Source organism: Homo sapiens, chromosome 21, assembly GCF_000001405.40.
Source record: "Homo sapiens chromosome 21, GRCh38.p14 Primary Assembly".
NCBI classification, from domain to species: Eukaryota; Metazoa; Chordata; class Mammalia; order Primates; family Hominidae; genus Homo; species Homo sapiens.
The window spans coordinates 14958266-14978292 of record NC_000021.9 but is presented as its reverse complement, the minus strand read 5'-3'; the positions used below and the strand labels follow the sequence as shown (position 1 = coordinate 14978292).

General features: G+C 35.6%; 1 protein-coding gene across 21 annotated transcripts in view, besides 1 other annotated feature; it reads left to right on the top strand.

Annotated features, from left to right (window-relative positions):
* The window catches only part of NRIP1 (nuclear receptor interacting protein 1), a 104702-nt gene extending 87644 nt beyond the window's left edge, over positions 1-17058 (top strand). For all 21 annotated transcript variants that reach the window (NM_001439278.1, NM_001439276.1, NM_001439275.1 and 18 more), the window contains one exon: positions 9767-17058. In NM_001439278.1, the coding sequence (NP_001426207.1) occupies positions 10101-13577 (3477 nt within the window). In that variant the 5' untranslated portion in view covers positions 9767-10100 and the 3' untranslated portion in view covers positions 13578-17058. The remainder of the gene's footprint in view (positions 1-9766) is intronic.
* Positions 7169-7338: an enhancer, noted in NCBI's record as "experimental_61697 CRE fragment used in MPRA reporter constructs". NCBI's record gives its function as "activates a minimal promoter by MPRAs in K562 erythroleukemia cells, with activity observed for the introgressed 21:16343361 variant allele {active_cell/tissue: K562}" and the evidence as "EXISTENCE:reporter gene assay evidence [ECO:0000049][PMID:34662402]".

The window sequence follows — 20027 nt, the reverse complement described above, 5'->3', positions numbered from 1 at the left end:
AATGCTTGTCATTTTCATCAGCTATAATTTGACAAATTACTTGGAATCATAGGAATAAAATTTTAGATTTAGAGGGGTCCTCATATACATGTGTCCTTGCGTTGAATGCTTGAGTTACTCCCGCAGGAGTGTCTCTAATGAGTCTTTTTTAGTTGGGAATGTGAATGACACTATTTTACTCCTATGGAAGCAGCTGACGAGCAAGTTAAAGCCAATGGACCTAGAAGTTAGGAGCAAATTTGGCCTTGGGCCAAAAAATTAAGTCCTTCAGGTTGCAGTGGAGAGCAGCCTGGGCAGCTGTTTTCGTCACCGGTGTCTCTGGTGTCCATGCCACCTGTCTCTGAGGAGTATCTGCACCTAAAATGAGAACCCCTGGGAGAGAGCAAGAAACTCCTCAGTTCTCATTTCAAATGTTGAGGCCCTCAGTTGAGCAAAATGTATTTAGATAATTATTTTTGGCATCTGTTAAATTGTATGACCACACATCTACCTTTTCATAAAGATAATACTTCAAAGAAAGTTATTATCTTGGAATTCAGATTCCCTTAAAAGACATATATTAATTTTGATTCATTTTTTTCAAGTAATTAGAAATATATTTTAAGAAATGAAACTTCAGGCATATTCTTTTATTGTCTTATTATTCCCTGCTGTGAAATGTCAACACTTGAATGTTTCTTTTATTCCTTTTTAAATGTTTTTTCCAGTGACTTTTTAATTGATAATAGAGGATTCACTGTTGTCTTCTTAAATGAAACTTCGGGACCCATACCTAAAATGTTACTTTTCCTTTCTTTTTATGTGAAATTAAGTGTTGGGTTTTACGTATTTTAACTTTTCATTGGCCCTTGGTTTGGAAAGCTACTTTCATCCCTTCGGATAAAATGTTTGGAGTTACATCCTGTTGGTAAATTGTTTTTGGCTTAGTGTTTCTCATTCAGCTTTTAAAACTTCCTTTCAAAGCCCTGCTTTGGAGAACAACGAGAGTTCTCCGAATACCTGGATCTGTATTTTTTTTAAATAAAAGAGTCAATAATTAGGACTTTGGAATCTTCTTAGTATGTACTTAGATATTTTTCTTCTAATGTTTAATGAAACATATTAATGTTTTTCTTACCATTTGTATAAAAATACCCCTGAAATTATCCACAGTGGAATATAGATAATAATATTGTCCATTAGGAGTTATTCTTGAATGACATAATTAAGTAGCCCTTTGATTACTTACGCATTTTGAGGAACCAGGCAAAGCCAAGTGTCCTAATGGTCAAAGCTGCATTGTAGAAATCCCTTTAAATTCAGTACTCAAATAGGTATTACTTGATATTGCAGAACAAATTGGGGGAGATCTCATGGACACAATTGGAAGTCATGAGGTAGTCCTTAGATATAATTTAAATGGCATACCAAGTGAACTCGTAGATGTTTAATCATTTAAATGTGTTTTTAATGGAGTATTTAATTGCAAGTAAGATACTGAATCCTTAAAAACAGCTGGAGAAAGACCGTTGTCATTATTTCTCTATTCTCAACCAAAAATAGTCCTACATGTAAGAATTCTGCCAGATGCATTCTTCATTTAACTAAGTAAAATTTTATCACTTGGATTTTATCATTTTAAAGTGTGTAGAAGTTCCACAAAGTTTCCCTTTGTTTAATAAACCATTTCCAAACAGAAAATGTAAAACATATTGCAATGAAAATAGTTTAGCTATTTTAGAGAATCAATATAGCACCCATTTGTGAACTGTTAGTATGCACAGTATTTACTACTGTCTTTTATTTAAAAAGCTCTAAAAAAATTACCTATCACTTAGTTCTGTACTTTTCAGATACTTATAAAAAAAAGTAAATGTAGCTCTTTTTAAAATATACTGTGTAATTCAAGCATTTTATTAGATATTTCATTAAACTAGTTTGTGTTGAAACTTAGATCTTTCCCCAAATCAATCTACGCATATGGTGAAGATTCCATGGAATTTTTTCATGGTTTAGTTTGATTTTATTACTTTCTAAAATAATTCTTTTTCACCACAATGATTTTTTCCACCACATGATGTAGATCAGTAAAATCTTAACTTTATAAACTTTAAAGGATTTTTATGCTTATAAACAATTTTAAATTAATAAAAGGAAGATTCTGTTTATAATTTTAACATTGTTAAGTAGTTGGACATGAATTTTATTATCATGAAATACATTAACCTTTGGTATACTATCAGGGTTCTTTGGACTCAGTTTTAGTTTTCAAATGCTTTTTTAAAAAATATATTTGTAAGTGGTAGGAAGGATAATACCACATTTTTGAAGTTTTAATGAATGTGTCCTTAATAGACTCAAACATAGTACCTTGCTGTTACTATATATGTCCATTGGAACCTTTTAGAAGTCAAAAGTACATATGGAATCTTAGTGATCTTATTTTTTCTGTATCTTTAAGTATTTTGGCATTTTACCATTTTGGCAATGAATTTATTATTTATTCCCAACTGTCCTTTAAAAAAAAGGCTAAAATAATAAAAAGTAAAAATAACGGAAGTGTCTAGAAGGATGAGGCAATACTGAAATCATCACTGTTTTACCGTCATTCTATTCCTCCCCTCCCCTCCCTTTCTTTCTTTCTCTCTCTCTCTCCCTTCCTTCCTTCCTTTTTTTTTTTTTTTTTTAAAGAAATAGTGTCTTATTCTGTCACGCAGGCTAGAATGCGGTGTACAGTAACTCAGTCATAGCTCACTGTAACCTCAAACTCCTGGGCTCCAGTGATCCTCCCACCTCAGCCTTCCAAAGTGCTAGGATTACAGGCTAGCCACCGTACCCAGCCCCATCTTCAGTTTTCTTAGAGCCCATTATACTACATTATCTTTCAAGAATGTAAAAAAATAAAAATAAAACATCTGGAGACACTGTCTTTATAGTCTTTCCCTTTTGTTTTAAGTTTTTATTAAAAATTGATGATTCAGTATTTTTCTGTCTGTAATGTCAAAGAGGAAAGTTGACAAACGAAGATATTTCACTTAGATAAACCAGAAGATGAATGGAAAAAAACTGATGCTAATACTTTACATGTGAATGATTATGGTGCTATTGATTATATAAGCAATACCACTGACTGTTGTCTTCAGATACATCCTAGATGAATGTTTCCTTCCTTCCATCCATTCGTCCTTCCTGTTCTTTCTTTCCACAGGGTCTTGCTCTGTCACCCAGGCTAAAGTGCACAGGTGCTATCATGGCTTACTGCAGCCTTGACTTCCCCAGACTCAGGTGATCCTCCCACCTCAGCCTCCCAAGTAGCTGAAACTGCAGGCTGATAACATCACACCCAGCTATTTTTTTTTTAATGTTTTTGTAAAGATGGGGTCTCGCCATGTTGCCCAGGCTGGTCTCGAACTCCTGGGCTCAAGCATTCATCCTGCCTCAGCCTCTGAAAGTGCTGAAGTTACAGGCATGAGCCACTGCGCCCAGCCAGGTGAATTTTCTCAAACACAGGGAGCAATGAGTAACAATATAGTTCAAAAATACAGTTCTCAGGACAAAAAGTAAGTATAGTATTTTCATACAGTTAGTTATTCATTAGGAAAGACTGCATTGCTCGGTATTCAACACTCAAGTGTTTTGTGGCAAAAACTTCAATGGCTCTGTTTTCTTCAAAGGGTGTGTGACAGTATTCTTTCATCTTTTATGATTTTTGGAACACCAAATTTATTTGACACTGTTCGTAAGTGGACAGATACTTAAGGCAGGTGTTTGATAGAGGAGATTGTAAAGAAAGAGATGATACAGAAATGAAGTAATTCATTGGATTGATCATTGTAATTGCTGTTAGTCTAAAAATGAAATATATTGGGCAATTACGAAGCAGAAATTTCTGTCATCTTTTCAACATCATTATGAGCTATTAAAATTATCAAAAGTAACACATTTTGAATTCTTCAAGTACAAGAAGAAGACCCAAGAGTCCTTTTAAACACATACCTGAAATCTGGAATCAATATTTATAAATATTTCCAGGTTCATCCATGAACCTGTTGATGAGCTGTCAGTTTCAAAGCGCCTTGTCCTTTTCAGATATATACTCCTTCAAAACCAGGAAAACAGGGAATGAAGAATTGAATTACAATGTTATGTTTAAATTCTTATGAAAAAAAATCAGTGAAGTTGTTTTGTGTCATTTCTTTATTCTTATTGTGTAAATTATTCATGAATTAACTTAAATATTAATAAAATGTCTTTTGGACCCAGATGATAAATGATGATGACTGTTTTTCTTGGTGTACTGAGGGTTAAAATGAACTAAAATTGTAAAAGAGCCAGGTGTGGTGGTTCACGCCTGTAATCCCAGCACTTTGAGAGGCTAAGGCAGGAGGACCACTTGAGGCTAAGAGTTCAAGATGAGCCTTGGCAACATTGTGAGATCCCCATCTCCACAGGAAAAAAAAAAAAAAAAAATCAGCTCTGCATGGTGGCACACACCTGTATTCCCGGCTGCTTGGGAGACTGAGGTGGGAGAATCCCTTGAGTCCAGGAGGCTGAGGCTGCAGTGAGCTGTGATCTCACCACTGCAGTCCAGCCTGGGCAACAGAATGAGAACTTGTCTCAAAAAAAAAAAAAAAATTATGCGAGCTGATTTTCACTTAAGACGATAATACTGAAATCAAAATTTAGTACTTCTTGGTATCCTGAATGTTATACTAAATTTTTTGTTAAAATTAACCATTTTTTCCTCAAAATTTTATGGAACCACTCTATAAAAATGACAGCCAAGTTGAAACAAACATCACTGAGTTAGCTTTTATTCTATTATTGTGTAGGTTTTACTTTTTTCTCGTTGTATATATGCATTTTTAGTGTTCATAAAAGATGTTTCTTCACTTTGCATGTCATATCTACCAACCTAATGTTTAAAGGCAGGCTAGTAATATAATCTACTTAGTTTGTAAACTAAGTTTTTCCTTCTGGCACCTCATGAGAGTTGCAGAATTCATGATGCCTTTATTTGTTCTTAGTATTTTTCCCTTTTTTTTTTCTTTTTCTGTCCCTTTAGTATTTTTACTTCCTTTGGTTCTTCTCATCCGCCATAAGCCAAATTCTAGAAAAGTTCTGTTTTCTTTACTTAGAAGTTATTTAACAAGTATATACCATACAAGTAAAGTCTCTCCCTTACTGTGATGCAAATGTTTAATAACTTTAAATAGACACATGCACAAGCTCTAATGAAATCACCATCAAAATTAAGAAAATAACAAACCAGAGGATTCAATATTTTATAAACAATTCCAGTTTCAAAATATACATTAATTGCAATTCTCTGAAGCAGGGGTTCCCAACCCCCAGGCCAAGCCTGTTAGGAACTGGGCCACACAGCAGGCGGTGAGCAGTGGGCCAGCAAGCATTACCGCCTGAGCTCCGCCTCCTGTCACATCGGTGGCAGCATTAGATTCTCATAGAAGTGCGAACCCTAGTGTAAACTGCACATGTGAGGGATCTAGGTTCCCCACTGTTTATAAGAATCTAATGCCTGATGATCTGAGGTGGAACAGTTTCATCTTGAAACCATCTCCACCCCGCTACTCCATGCAAAAATTATCTTCCATGAAACCAGTCTCTGGTGCCAAAAAGGTTGGGGACTGCTGCTCTAAAGAAACCTAATTATTAAATGTGTGTTGACTTTTAGGTATTGGTAACTAAATATACTCAAGAATACACCTGGCAACATTCTTAAGTTATATTTATATAAAACCAGGCAAGAGAACTATATGTTGGAATTTCATGAATAATGTGGTTGTCTTTCACTAAAAGAAAATGAGTTAAGCTAATATTGAATAACTTAAAATAACATTTTAACCTTAAAACGTCTATTTATTAGGTAGTGGTCATATTTTACCTTAATACCCTAAATCCATAGGTCCCAACAAGCTGTACTATTTAGTATCGTGCCTCATTTTCTTTTTTTGCTATATTTCTCAATTATATTCTATACTATAGAAATGAAAAGGCAAGGATTGGGAAAGGTGAGAAGGATTGTTAGTGATTTCTCCCTCTCTAGTTTAAGAGATAGAAAAGGAAGATATCTAAAGAAATTTGGCTCACTCTGCTCCCTGAAGAGCTTTCAATAGAAGGAGCTAAGTGCGTTCAGGCCTTAAGGGGTGTAAGAATTCCTGCTTTCCTAGGATAGACACTTCATTTTCTGCTAGAACAGTGGTAGGTGTTGCTGCTGTGTCACCTGAGGCAGCCTCTCCACGTGACCACAATCTTTGATTTACAGATTTATCTCATTTAAAAAACAGGTCTCCATAAGAAAATCCTTTTTCTCCACTACTTCATGTAATTGGTACGTTTTATAGGATTTTTTTCAAAGAAATTAATGAAAAATAACTGCCTTGACTTAGAATATTTTGGAAGCAATTATTCATCTTCCTTTTAAATCTATTCTAAATGTGTTACTGGTCCACTTCTCTAGAAGAAAGTGTGAAAGCTTAGTGCATACACATAGTGACTTTTATCCATACTATGGTAACCACATTTTCTGAACTAAAAATGTTTGTTTTATAGTTTTCATTTAAAAATCTTAAAACAATCTTTGGAAGATTTTTCATATCACATTTTTTAATTTTTTTGTGCTTGGTGATATAAGAGTCATGTGAAAATGTGAAAAGAAGTAGCATGAGGAGAAGATATTTTTATTATTAGAGATGTTCTAGAAACTTAAAGGTGGATGTTCACCTTGCCTGTTTCTCTAGATGTTGTCTATCACATCCCTTTTTAAAAATGAACATAATTCACCAATCCTAAGACAGATCTTGAAGCAGATTGGGAGTTCAGTAAGAATATGTTGTATTGATTTAAATGAAATAAACAATTGAATATTTAGAATGACCTTCTCCTCGTGATTCCTTCAAGTGATGAACTACAGTGTGTGGTTTCAAATTTGTGATTCGAATTATTTTAGTATCTCATCTATATATTTTTTGAGAGTGAGAGAATGTGTGTGTTTGAATGTCAAATTCCCTTCCTTCCTACTGGGAATTTGGTCATTGAATAACTTAATGTATCCCAAGGTTCAGTTATCTGTTGACTGTGTTGCACTGTAGTAATTATAATTAGCACAGTCCTCAGACCCAAGGAGCTTAATAAAATTATTTGTATATGTCATTTTCGTTCTTGAAGTTAAAAATTGTTTTCATATGTAAGAAATGATTTTCAACCTGAGAAAGCTGATTGCCAAAAAATGGATTATTAAGAGATGATTATTCTTAATATCTGTCATCTACTTTCTCTGTGAAGATAGGAAATAAATGGTAGAGAGGTAAATAAATGGTAAAATACAGTGTTAGAGCTCCTTTACAAGGAAACTGTGATAATTCCTTTTTAAATCAACTTCCAAATCTGCTTTGTAAATTCAGAAATGTGTAAATTCAGTCTTTTTAAAGCAATGAATAATACTTTGCAAATTATATCATGCACAGTAAAAAGTAGAAAGCAATAACAGGAGTAATATGAACTCAAAGATGCTCCTTATTTCATTCTTATTCTTAAATAAAGTATGTTTTATGGCTGTTTACAAACCAGTTTTCAAATGACTGGTATGATTTTGACTTTCTTGAGTCTACCCAAGAGCAAAAAGGTTGGCAGTGGTGTGGAGAGAAATACAGTGGACTTGCATATCCCATTAAATGGTTGTTAAATGTCTTAACTAGTTGAGAATTAATTGTATATTAGCAGTTGTTATTTTTGTTTTGTTTGTTTTGAGATAGAGTGTCATTCTGTCACCCAGGCTGGAGTGCAGTGGCACGATCTCGGCTCACTGCAACCTCTGCCTACCAGGTTCAAGCAATTCTTCTGCCTCAGCCTCCTGAGTAGCTGGGACTACAGGCGCATGCCACCATACCCGGCTAATTTTTGTATTTTTACTAGAGATGGGGTTTCACCATTTTGGTCAGGTTGGTCTCAAACTCCTGACCTCAGGCGATCCACCCACCTCGGCCTCCTAAATTGCTGGGATTACAGGTGTGAGCCACCGTACCTGGCCATATTAAGTTTTTTGAGAGAATTAGAAAACTGGGTTTCCTCAACTCCAAGATGTTATCAGTTGTAAAATGTACCCGTATGTTTTATACCACTAAGAAAGAAAAATAAGCCTCCAATTAAGCAACATGCCATCAATTGTAAAATATAACCAGAGGGGGGAGAAAAGTAGTGTTTAGCTGGGATACCTCCCTACTCCCTGAAAAACAAGTCAGGGTTTTATTAGTAAATGAAAATGGGAGAATGGATATTTGGTGGCAGTCATGATAACCATTTCATTTCTATATCATTATTAACCTCTTAAAATATCCATCTTAAGTACATTATGGCAAAGCTTCTTAAAATGGTGGCATTGGAATCTCAAGAAAGTCTCTTCTCATCCTACTCCTTACACAGTTGAAATTAATTGTTGCTGCCTCCTTTCTGTATCTTTTTCTTTGGCTATCATTTCTTATCCTTTTAATCAATAAATTCAACAATTTGATACAATCAGATAATTATTTCCTAAAGTTTGACTTAGAGTTAAGCATTGTACTTAAAAAGCTACAGGGTAGTCTTTCAATTAAAATTTATCTTTTAAATTCCATAGGGACCAAGGTATTTGTTGATAGCTTCAGGTCTGATAACTTAAACAAAATGTTCTGGCATCTTGAAAAACAAACTGCATGGAATTTATTCCAGCTTCTCTTCCAAAGGTGTCATGGCCCCCCTTCCTTAGGTCAATTTTGACACTTACCTATCAAGTTTTCAGAAATGCAATGAGTTCTTGCTTCTTCTGTTGTGTATGTGTTAGTGATAGGAAATTTTTTGGTCTCTTCTTAGATAATAAATATCATTGGAATATTTTTCAAACTGTGACTAAAATGTCTTTGGCATTCTCCATTGTACTTTTTATATATGTTTATGCCCTCCCTGTCTTCTGTATCTGTAAGGAATGGACCTGACATTAAGACTTCTCCATAGAGCACATGAGTAAGGATTTACTAACGAACTACATTAAACCCTTGATAGCCCTGAACAAGCATCTAAAGAATCACTCCTCTCTGTCTTTAATAAGTCATGGTAAAAAGTATGGGTAGGTAAGTTTATGACTGTATTTTAATGTTTATGAATATGATTAAGATGGTCACACTTTGAACAGACTCACAAAATAATCTTCAACTTGTTAGTGGTTTCATTTTTTTGAAAACGGAAATTCTAAAAATTACTTATGGAATGTCTGGTGTTTGGGGGATGATGTCAGAAATGAATCTGTTCTGTTGGCCTCAACCCCACATCAGACTCATCAGAGTCTGCATCTCTTTTCCTTTTTCTGCACATCTACTTTTGTTTCTTCCTAAGTGCCCAGTAATGTAAGGAAGCAAGTTCTAGTTCCCCTGTAGAGCTATAAAGCTATAAAGGAGACTGAACATTCACATTACTTTGCAGAAAGGTGCTTATGAAAATTCAGAGACTTGGCGGCTTTGGAAGATGGCTATGTAACATTAAAGTATGTTCTCTTCTCTAATGATTTGATCATTTTAACAGTATGCATTAACCCACAGGATTTCCAGTAGACATTTTCAATTGAATAGGAACGGCAATAAAACAAATTACTAAAGTGACTATAATCCATTTATATGTCTATTATTTATATGTAATATATATATACATTTACAGATGCTATATTATTTTGCTTGTAGGTATCATAACGTGATTCTAGTTCTGCCTCCTTAACTATTCTTATTTTTATTTTTTTTAGAACACTGATATTTGCATTTAATGGGGAACAAAAGATGAAGAAGGAAAAGGAATATATTCACTAAGGATTCTATCTGCTTACTGCTACAGACCTATGTGTTAAGGAATTCTTCTCCTCCTCCTTGCGTAGAAGTTGATCAGCACTGTGGTCAGACTGCATTTATCTTGTCATTGCCAGAAGAAATCTTGGACAGAATGTAACAGTACGTCTCTCTCTGATTGCGATGGAAGGTGATAAACTGATACTCCTTTATTAAAGTTACATCGCACTCACCACAGAAAACCATTCTTTAAAGTGAATAGAAACCAAGCCCTTGTGAACACTTCTATTGAACATGACTCATGGAGAAGAGCTTGGCTCTGATGTGCACCAGGATTCTATTGTTTTAACTTACCTAGAAGGATTACTAATGCATCAGGCAGCAGGGGGATCAGGTACTGCCGTTGACAAAAAGTCTGCTGGGCATAATGAAGAGGATCAGAACTTTAACATTTCTGGCAGTGCATTTCCCACCTGTCAAAGTAATGGTCCAGTTCTCAATACACATACATATCAGGGGTCTGGCATGCTGCACCTCAAAAAAGCCAGACTGTTGCAGTCTTCTGAGGACTGGAATGCAGCAAAGCGGAAGAGGCTGTCTGATTCTATCATGAATTTAAACGTAAAGAAGGAAGCTTTGCTAGCTGGCATGGTTGACAGTGTGCCTAAAGGCAAACAGGATAGCACATTACTGGCCTCTTTGCTTCAGTCATTCAGCTCTAGGCTGCAGACTGTTGCTCTGTCACAACAAATCAGGCAGAGCCTCAAGGAGCAAGGATATGCCCTCAGTCATGATTCTTTAAAAGTGGAGAAGGATTTAAGGTGCTATGGTGTTGCATCAAGTCACTTAAAAACTTTGTTGAAGAAAAGTAAAGTTAAAGATCAAAAGCCTGATACGAATCTTCCTGATGTGACTAAAAACCTCATCAGAGATAGGTTTGCAGAGTCTCCTCATCATGTTGGACAAAGTGGAACAAAGGTCATGAGTGAACCGTTGTCATGTGCTGCAAGATTACAGGCTGTTGCAAGCATGGTGGAAAAAAGGGCTAGTCCTGCCACCTCACCTAAACCTAGTGTTGCTTGTAGCCAGTTAGCATTACTTCTGTCAAGCGAAGCCCATTTGCAGCAGTATTCTCGAGAACACGCTTTAAAAACGCAAAATGCAAATCAAGCAGCAAGTGAAAGACTTGCTGCTATGGCCAGATTGCAAGAAAATGGCCAGAAGGATGTTGGCAGTTACCAGCTCCCAAAAGGAATGTCAAGCCATCTTAATGGTCAGGCAAGAACATCATCAAGCAAACTGATGGCTAGCAAAAGTAGTGCTACAGTGTTTCAAAATCCAATGGGTATCATTCCTTCTTCCCCTAAAAATGCAGGTTATAAGAACTCACTGGAAAGAAACAATATAAAACAAGCTGCTAACAATAGTTTGCTTTTACATCTTCTTAAAAGCCAGACTATACCTAAGCCAATGAATGGACACAGTCACAGTGAGAGAGGAAGCATTTTTGAGGAAAGTAGTACACCTACAACTATTGATGAATATTCAGATAACAATCCTAGTTTTACAGATGACAGCAGTGGTGATGAAAGTTCTTATTCCAACTGTGTTCCCATAGACTTGTCTTGCAAACACCGAACTGAAAAATCAGAATCTGACCAACCTGTTTCCCTGGATAACTTCACTCAATCCTTGCTAAACACTTGGGATCCAAAAGTCCCAGATGTAGATATCAAAGAAGATCAAGATACCTCAAAGAATTCTAAGCTAAACTCACACCAGAAAGTAACACTTCTTCAATTGCTACTTGGCCATAAGAATGAAGAAAATGTAGAAAAAAACACCAGCCCTCAGGGAGTACACAATGATGTGAGCAAGTTCAATACACAAAATTATGCAAGGACTTCTGTGATAGAAAGCCCCAGTACAAATCGGACTACTCCAGTGAGCACTCCACCTTTACTTACATCAAGCAAAGCAGGGTCTCCCATCAATCTCTCTCAACACTCTCTGGTCATCAAATGGAATTCCCCACCATATGTCTGCAGTACTCAGTCTGAAAAGCTAACAAATACTGCATCTAACCACTCAATGGACCTTACAAAAAGCAAAGACCCACCAGGAGAGAAACCAGCCCAAAATGAAGGTGCACAGAACTCTGCAACGTTTAGTGCCAGTAAGCTGTTACAAAATTTAGCACAATGTGGAATGCAGTCATCCATGTCAGTGGAAGAGCAGAGACCCAGCAAACAGCTGTTAACTGGAAACACAGATAAACCGATAGGTATGATTGATAGATTAAATAGCCCTTTGCTCTCAAATAAAACAAATGCAGTTGAAGAAAATAAAGCATTTAGTAGTCAACCAACAGGTCCTGAACCAGGGCTTTCTGGTTCTGAAATAGAAAATCTGCTTGAAAGACGTACTGTCCTCCAGTTGCTCCTGGGGAACCCCAACAAAGGGAAGAGTGAAAAAAAAGAGAAAACTCCCTTAAGAGATGAAAGTACTCAGGAACACTCAGAGAGAGCTTTAAGTGAACAAATACTGATGGTGAAAATAAAATCTGAGCCTTGTGATGACTTACAAATTCCTAACACAAATGTGCACTTGAGCCATGATGCTAAGAGTGCCCCATTCTTGGGTATGGCTCCTGCTGTGCAGAGAAGCGCACCTGCCTTACCAGTGTCCGAAGACTTTAAATCGGAGCCTGTTTCACCTCAGGATTTTTCTTTCTCCAAGAATGGTCTGCTAAGTCGATTGCTAAGACAAAATCAAGATAGTTACCTGGCAGATGATTCAGACAGGAGTCACAGAAATAATGAAATGGCACTTCTAGAATCAAAGAATCTTTGCATGGTCCCTAAGAAAAGGAAGCTTTATACTGAGCCATTAGAAAATCCATTTAAAAAGATGAAAAACAACATTGTTGATGCTGCAAACAATCACAGTGCCCCAGAAGTACTGTATGGGTCCTTGCTTAACCAGGAAGAGCTGAAATTTAGCAGAAATGATCTTGAATTTAAATATCCTGCTGGTCATGGCTCAGCCAGCGAAAGTGAACACAGGAGTTGGGCCAGAGAGAGCAAAAGCTTTAATGTTCTGAAACAGCTGCTTCTCTCAGAAAACTGTGTGCGAGATTTGTCCCCGCACAGAAGTAACTCTGTGGCTGACAGTAAAAAGAAAGGACACAAAAATAATGTGACCAACAGCAAACCTGAATTTAGCATTTCTTCTTTAAATGGACTGATGTACAGTTCCACTCAGCCCAGCAGTTGCATGGATAACAGGACATTTTCATACCCAGGTGTAGTAAAAACTCCTGTGAGTCCTACTTTCCCTGAGCACTTGGGCTGTGCAGGGTCTAGACCAGAATCTGGGCTTTTGAATGGGTGTTCCATGCCCAGTGAGAAAGGACCCATTAAGTGGGTTATCACTGATGCGGAGAAGAATGAGTATGAAAAAGACTCTCCAAGATTGACCAAAACCAACCCAATACTATATTACATGCTTCAAAAAGGAGGCAATTCTGTTACCAGTCGAGAAACACAAGACAAGGACATTTGGAGGGAGGCTTCATCTGCTGAAAGTGTCTCACAGGTCACAGCCAAAGAAGAGTTACTTCCTACTGCAGAAACGAAAGCTTCTTTCTTTAATTTAAGAAGCCCTTACAATAGCCATATGGGAAATAATGCTTCTCGCCCACACAGCGCAAATGGAGAAGTTTATGGACTTCTGGGAAGCGTGCTAACGATAAAGAAAGAATCAGAATAAAATGTACCTGCCATCCAGTTTTGGATCTTTTTAAAACTAATGAGTATGAACTTGAGATCTGTATAAATAAGAGCATGATTTGAAAAAAAGCATGGTATAATTGAAACTTTTTTCATTTTGAAAAGTATTGGTTACTGGTGATGTTGAAATATGCATACTAATTTTTGCTTAACATTAGATGTCATGAGGAAACTACTGAACTAGCAATTGGTTGTTTAACACTTCTGTATGCATCAGATAACAACTGTGAGTAGCCTATGAATGAAATTCTTTTATAAATATTAGGCATAAATTAAAATGTAAAACTCCATTCATAGTGGATTAATGCATTTTGCTGCCTTTATTAGGGTACTTTATTTTGCTTTTCAGAAGTCAGCCTACATAACACATTTTTAAAGTCTAAACTGTTAAACAACTCTTTAAAGGATAATTATCCAATAAAAAAAAACCTAGTGCTGATTCACAGCTTATTATCCAATTCAAAAATAAATTAGAAAAATATATGCTTACATTTTTCACTTTTGCTAAAAAGAAAAAAAAAAGGTGTTTATTTTTAACTCTTGGAAGAGGTTTTGTGGTTCCCAATGTGTCTGTCCCACCCTGATCCTTTTCAATATATATTTCTTTAAACCTTGTGCTACTTAGTAAAAATTGATTACAATTGAGGGAAGTTTGATAGATCCTTTAAAAAAAAGGCAGATTTCCATTTTTTGTATTTTAACTACTTTACTAAATTAATACTCCTCCTTTTACAGAATTAGAAAAGTTAACATTTATCTTTAGGTGGTTTCCTGAAAAGTTGAATATTTAAGAAATTGTTTTTAACAGAAGCAAAATGGCTTTTCTTTGGACAGTTTTCACCATCTCTTGTAAAAGTTAATTCTCACCATTCCTGTGGTACCTGCGAGTGTTATGACCAGGATTCCTTAAACCTGAACTCAGACCACTTGCATTAGAACCATCTGGAGCACTTGTTTTAAAATGCAGATTCATAGGCAGCATCTCAGATCTACAGAACAAGAATCTCTGCTAAGTGGACCTGGAATCTTCCATCTGCATCTTAACATGCTCTCTAGGTGTTTCTTGTGTTTGAGAACCATGACTTATGACTTTCCTCAGAACATGAGACTGTAAAACAAAAACAAAAAACTATGTGATGCCTCTATTTTCCCCAATACAGTCACACATCAGCTCAAAATTTGCAATATTGTAGTTCATATATTACCGTTATGTCTTTGGAAATCGGGTTCAGAACACTTTTTATGACAAAAATTGGGTGGAGGGGATAACTTTCATATCTGGCTCAACATCTCAGGAAAATCTGTGATTATTTGTGTGTTCTAATGAGTAACATCTACTTAGTTAGCCTTAGGGATGGAAAAACAGGGCCACTTACCAAACTCAGGTGATTCCAGGATGGTTTGGAAACTTCTCCTGAATGCATCCTTAACCTTTATTAAAACCATTGTCCTAAGAACAATGCCAACAAAGCTTACAACATTTAGTTTAAACCCAAGAAGGGCACTAAACTCAGATTGACTAAATAAAAAGTACAAAGGGCACATATACGTGACAGAATTGTACACAATCACTCCATTGGATCTTTTACTTTAAAGTAGTGATGAAAAGTACATGTTGATACTGTCTTAGAAGAAATTAATATATTAGTGAAGCCACATGGGGTTTCAGTTGCGAAACAGGTCTGTTTTTATGTTCAGTTTGTACAATCCACAATTCATTCACCAGATATTTTGTTCTTAATTGTGAACCAGGTTAGCAAATGACCTATCAAAAATTATTCTATAATCACTACTAGTTAGGATATTGATTTAAAATTGTTCTACTTGAAGTGGTTTCTAAGATTTTTATATTAAAAATAGGTGTGATTTCCTAATATGATCTAAAACCCTAAATGGTTATTTTTCCTCAGAATGATTTGTAAATAGCTACTGGAAATATTATACAGTAATAGGAGTGGGTATTATGCAACATCATGGAGAAGTGAAGGCATAGGCTTATTCTGACATAAAATTCCACTGGCCAGTTGAATATATTCTATTCCATGTCCATACTATGACAATCTTATTGTCAACACTATATAAATAAGCTTTTAAACAAGTCATTTTTCTTGATCGTTGTGGAAGGTTTGGAGCCTTAGAGGTATGTCAGAAAAAATATGTTGGTATTCTCCCTTGGGTAGGGGGAAATGACCTTTTTACAAGAGAGTGAAATTTAGGTCAGGGAAAAGACCAAGGGCCAGCATTGCTACTTTTGTGTGTGTGTGTGTGGGTTTTGTTTTGTTTTTTTGGTTGGCTGGTTGTTTTCGTTGTTGTTAACAAAGGAATGAGAATATGTAATACTTAAATAAACATGACCACGAAGAATGCTGTTCTGATTTACTAGAGAATGTTCCCAATTTGAATTTAGGGTGATTTTAAAGAACAGTGAGAAAGGGCATACATCCACAGATTCACTTTGTTTATGCATATGTAGATACAAGGATGCACATATACACATTTTCAAGGACTATTTTAGATATCTAGACAATTTCTTCTAATAAAGTCATTTGTGAAAGGGTACTACAGCTTATTGACATCAGTAAGGTAGCATTCATTACCTGTTTATTCTCTGCTGCATCTTACAGAAGAGTAAACTGGTGAGAGTATATATTTTATATATATATATATATATATATATATAATATGTATATATATATATATTGACTTGTTACATGAAGATGTTAAAATCGGTTTTTAAAGGTGATGTAAATAGTGATTTCCTTAATGAAAAATACATATTTTGTATTGTTCTAATGCAACAGAAAAGCCTTTTAATCTCTTTGGTTCCTGTATATTCCATGTATAAGTGTAAATATAATCAGACAGGTTTAAAAGTTGTGCATGTATGTATACAGTTGCAAGTCTGGACAAATGTATAGAATAAACCTTTTATTTAAGTTGTGATTACCTGCTGCATGAAAAGTGCATGGGGGACCCTGTGCATCTGTGCATTTGGCAAAATGTCTTAACAAATCAGATCAGATGTTCATCCTAACATGACAGTATTCCATTTCTGGACATGACGTCTGTGGTTTAAGCTTTGTGAAAGAATGTGCTTTGATTCGAAGGGTCTTAAAGAATTTTTTTAATCGTCAACCACTTTTAAACATAAAGAATTCACACAACTACTTTCATGAATTTTTTAATCCCATTGCAAACATTATTCCAAGAGTATCCCAGTATTAGCAATACTGGAATATAGGCACATTACCATTCATAGTAAGAATTCTGGTGTTTACACAACCAAATTTGATGCGATCTGCTCAGTAATATAATTTGCCATTTTTATTAGAAATTTAATTTCTTCATGTGATGTCATGAAACTGTACATACTGCAGTGTGAATTTTTTTGTTTTGTTTTTTAATCTTTTAGTGTTTACTTCCTGCAGTGAATTTGAATAAATGAGAAAAAATGCATTGTCTCTGGTTTGAAATGACTGTTATTTTGTGGGCTTTCTCTGGTTTTTAGGTTTTCCATAAACGTAAAACACATTGCTATGAATATAACAGTGATCTTCAAGGATGTTTTGCCCTTCTTAGAAAAATAAAGGGGACAAAAAAGAAGGTGGCTGGCAAGTTAGTGCACTAGAAACAGGGTAATTAAGGCATAACTCAAAGTGACAATCAGCCTATGGCCTTTCTCCCATGATTCAGTGTGTAACTAGTTGATCACTGTAAATTTTTAAACTAGAAAATAGTTTGTGCAGTATTCAAAATTAATGTTGACTATATGTATATACATACACACTTCATTTTAGGATAAGACTTTATCAGAAGGCTTTTATCCAGTTTTTAATGGGTGTGGTTTATTTTAAATAAAAGAAAAAGGAGTTTAATAATTTTCCAAAAATGAATGTGTATGTATATACACGTGTTTACATGTTTAAATATATGCTGTATGTGTATAGGTAATGAGTAATTGATAAGCAACATACATACTCAATAAGTATTAGAGACCAGTGGATTCCAAGAAAAAAAAAAAAACTTTGTACCCAGGTAAACTTAACAGCTTAGGAATTTTTATTTTTACAAATAATGATAATTTATGAGAAAGACATTTTCCCAAAGAGGAATTCTGTTTCCTGGGACCCAGATAGGTCTATTGTAATCCATGCAGCTTCTCTCTTAATAGGTTTATAAATGTCTAAAAATGTTCAAGTAATAAAAATACTTCCTGCTGTTCTACATTATTAAAATGTTGAAAAATTGCATCTTGCTATTTGTATAATAACAGAATGAGAGATGCACAACCATGTCTTCTTTTATTTACATGGTGAAAAACCCTGACAAGTGCATCAAGTAGTGAATTGCCCAGGAGGGATTTTTATGAAGAGAAGCACCAGTTAGCTATTCTTGATTATAAAATAGTGCCTGTGACTTTAATATGGAGGGTCTTTAAAAATCAATTCAGATTAAAATCACATACTATATAAGGTTCTATTTCAAGCTTGTTAGTGTGGAAAATCATCAACAAAAGTAATTTTGAAATTTATTTTCCTACCACTGGTATCACTCAACTATGACCTGTTTGGCTGTAGGAAACAGGTTTTAAATGTTCATTATTAAGCATACTGGTAATTTTTTTGTTTATTCCATAAAACTTGTATCTAATACTACCTCACCTTATAAGGGTTGGTAGAGGAAGCTTTTGGCATCATTTAGCATCATTTAATACTCCAATTCTCTATAAGTGGCTGGCACAACAATATCTACAACATTTTTCAGATTCCATCTTCATAAATAAGTTAAAGACTCTCACTCTAAAAGCCAAAATTTATGTACTTGAGTTGGAGGCCGAATAATAGGAAATAGAGTCCCATAAATTCCAGTCCTGGGGAGGTGCTGTTGCACTTTTGATGTCCTCTTATGAGTGTCTAAAAGTACGCATATAAACCTTTTAATCAGTAAACCAAATTTTGAAATAGTATACCTTTGCAGTCAGAAGAGAATTTTTGAGACATTCAAAAGTCTTCTTACAGCCTTTATGTTGACACAAAGTCCTAGACAACCACCTGCTTTCCCTCTGTTGCCTTTACCAAACTTCATTGGTATGTGTTCCAAACCTTAAGAAAAGCTGCAATCCTTTTGGAATATTCATTTTCCTCACTTCAGCTGAGAAACATTCACCTCTGAGATCACATCTGGAAAAGAAAATGACCTAACGTTTTATAGTTGTCATAGCCCACATTTTTGGAAAGCTATGTGAACGATGCCACACAATAGAGCCGCAGTGCAGGTACAGTGCATTGTCTGAGATTGTATTTTCCCTTAGCTAATTGATAAAATAATTCAAGAATAGAACCATGGGGTAATTTTCTTATCATTGGAAAACTACAATTTTCTCTAAAGGCCTAAGGGTTGCCTCTGGCAAACATTAATAGCTGATCTTTCCACAAGCTAGCTTCAAGTCCTTAAAAGACTTTTAGCACCAGGTTGGATGTGCTAGCTAGCCTCATTACATTTTACATCGTACCTGGCCATTTTGCTTCTCTGCCCATGTCTTCTGAGTTTTCTTATGTTCTTGTTTGATTCACAGTGGTGTCTTTGAGTATATAGAAATGCTTAGGTAAACTGGGAGAGATCCTGTTTCTCTCCCCTTCATAATTTTGTAGTCACTTTCAAAAACCAAAGTTGTAATACAAACCTTCGCCACTTCCGCAACTTCTAAATCATGGCTTTCTCCTTTCAATTACCTTACTTTTGGGGGGGAAATGTCCATTAGAAAAGCACTTAGAGTGCTGATAGCCTAATGTGGATAAAAACGGGCTCAATCCAGTCTGTGGGAGAGACTAAAGTATGGGAATAATACCAGTGGGTTCAATGCTGTAACACACACTGATCAATAAGCTTTAGATCTCTAGCGAAGGCCTTTCTCTCCCTTTTCCCTGATTGCTTTCCTATAACAAATAAATACTTTTTCTCACAAGACCATACCTTTGAGTTTGCTACCTACTTCCATTACATTTCCGACCCCACTTCAACAGAGAAAGTGTTTCTTTAAAGCTGCAGTGGCCTTTCCCTGTGTCCATAAAAATCTGGGCTTTTGTCCATAGAGCTCTTTGCTCTTTTCTGCTTTTCTAAGGACAGTTGACAACAATGTCGGGGCAGGGGGGAAGCTTCCATTCCCCACCCCCAACAACATCCACAAAGAGATTTTTATCTCCTAAGTGGAGTCAAGAATGGGGACTTACACATGGCTAAACTCTGGGGATAGTCTGACCAGAGAGAGGGTAGATGAATTTAGGGCTTAGTGGGCTCAAGCATGATTACCTGCTCCTACCCACACTTTCACCTCCATAATAAAATCTACCTCACTTTACATAGTTCTGTGCTAATAAAGATAATCATGATAATCTTTCCAAAGTAAGCAGCAGGGATGGTCTTTTAGATC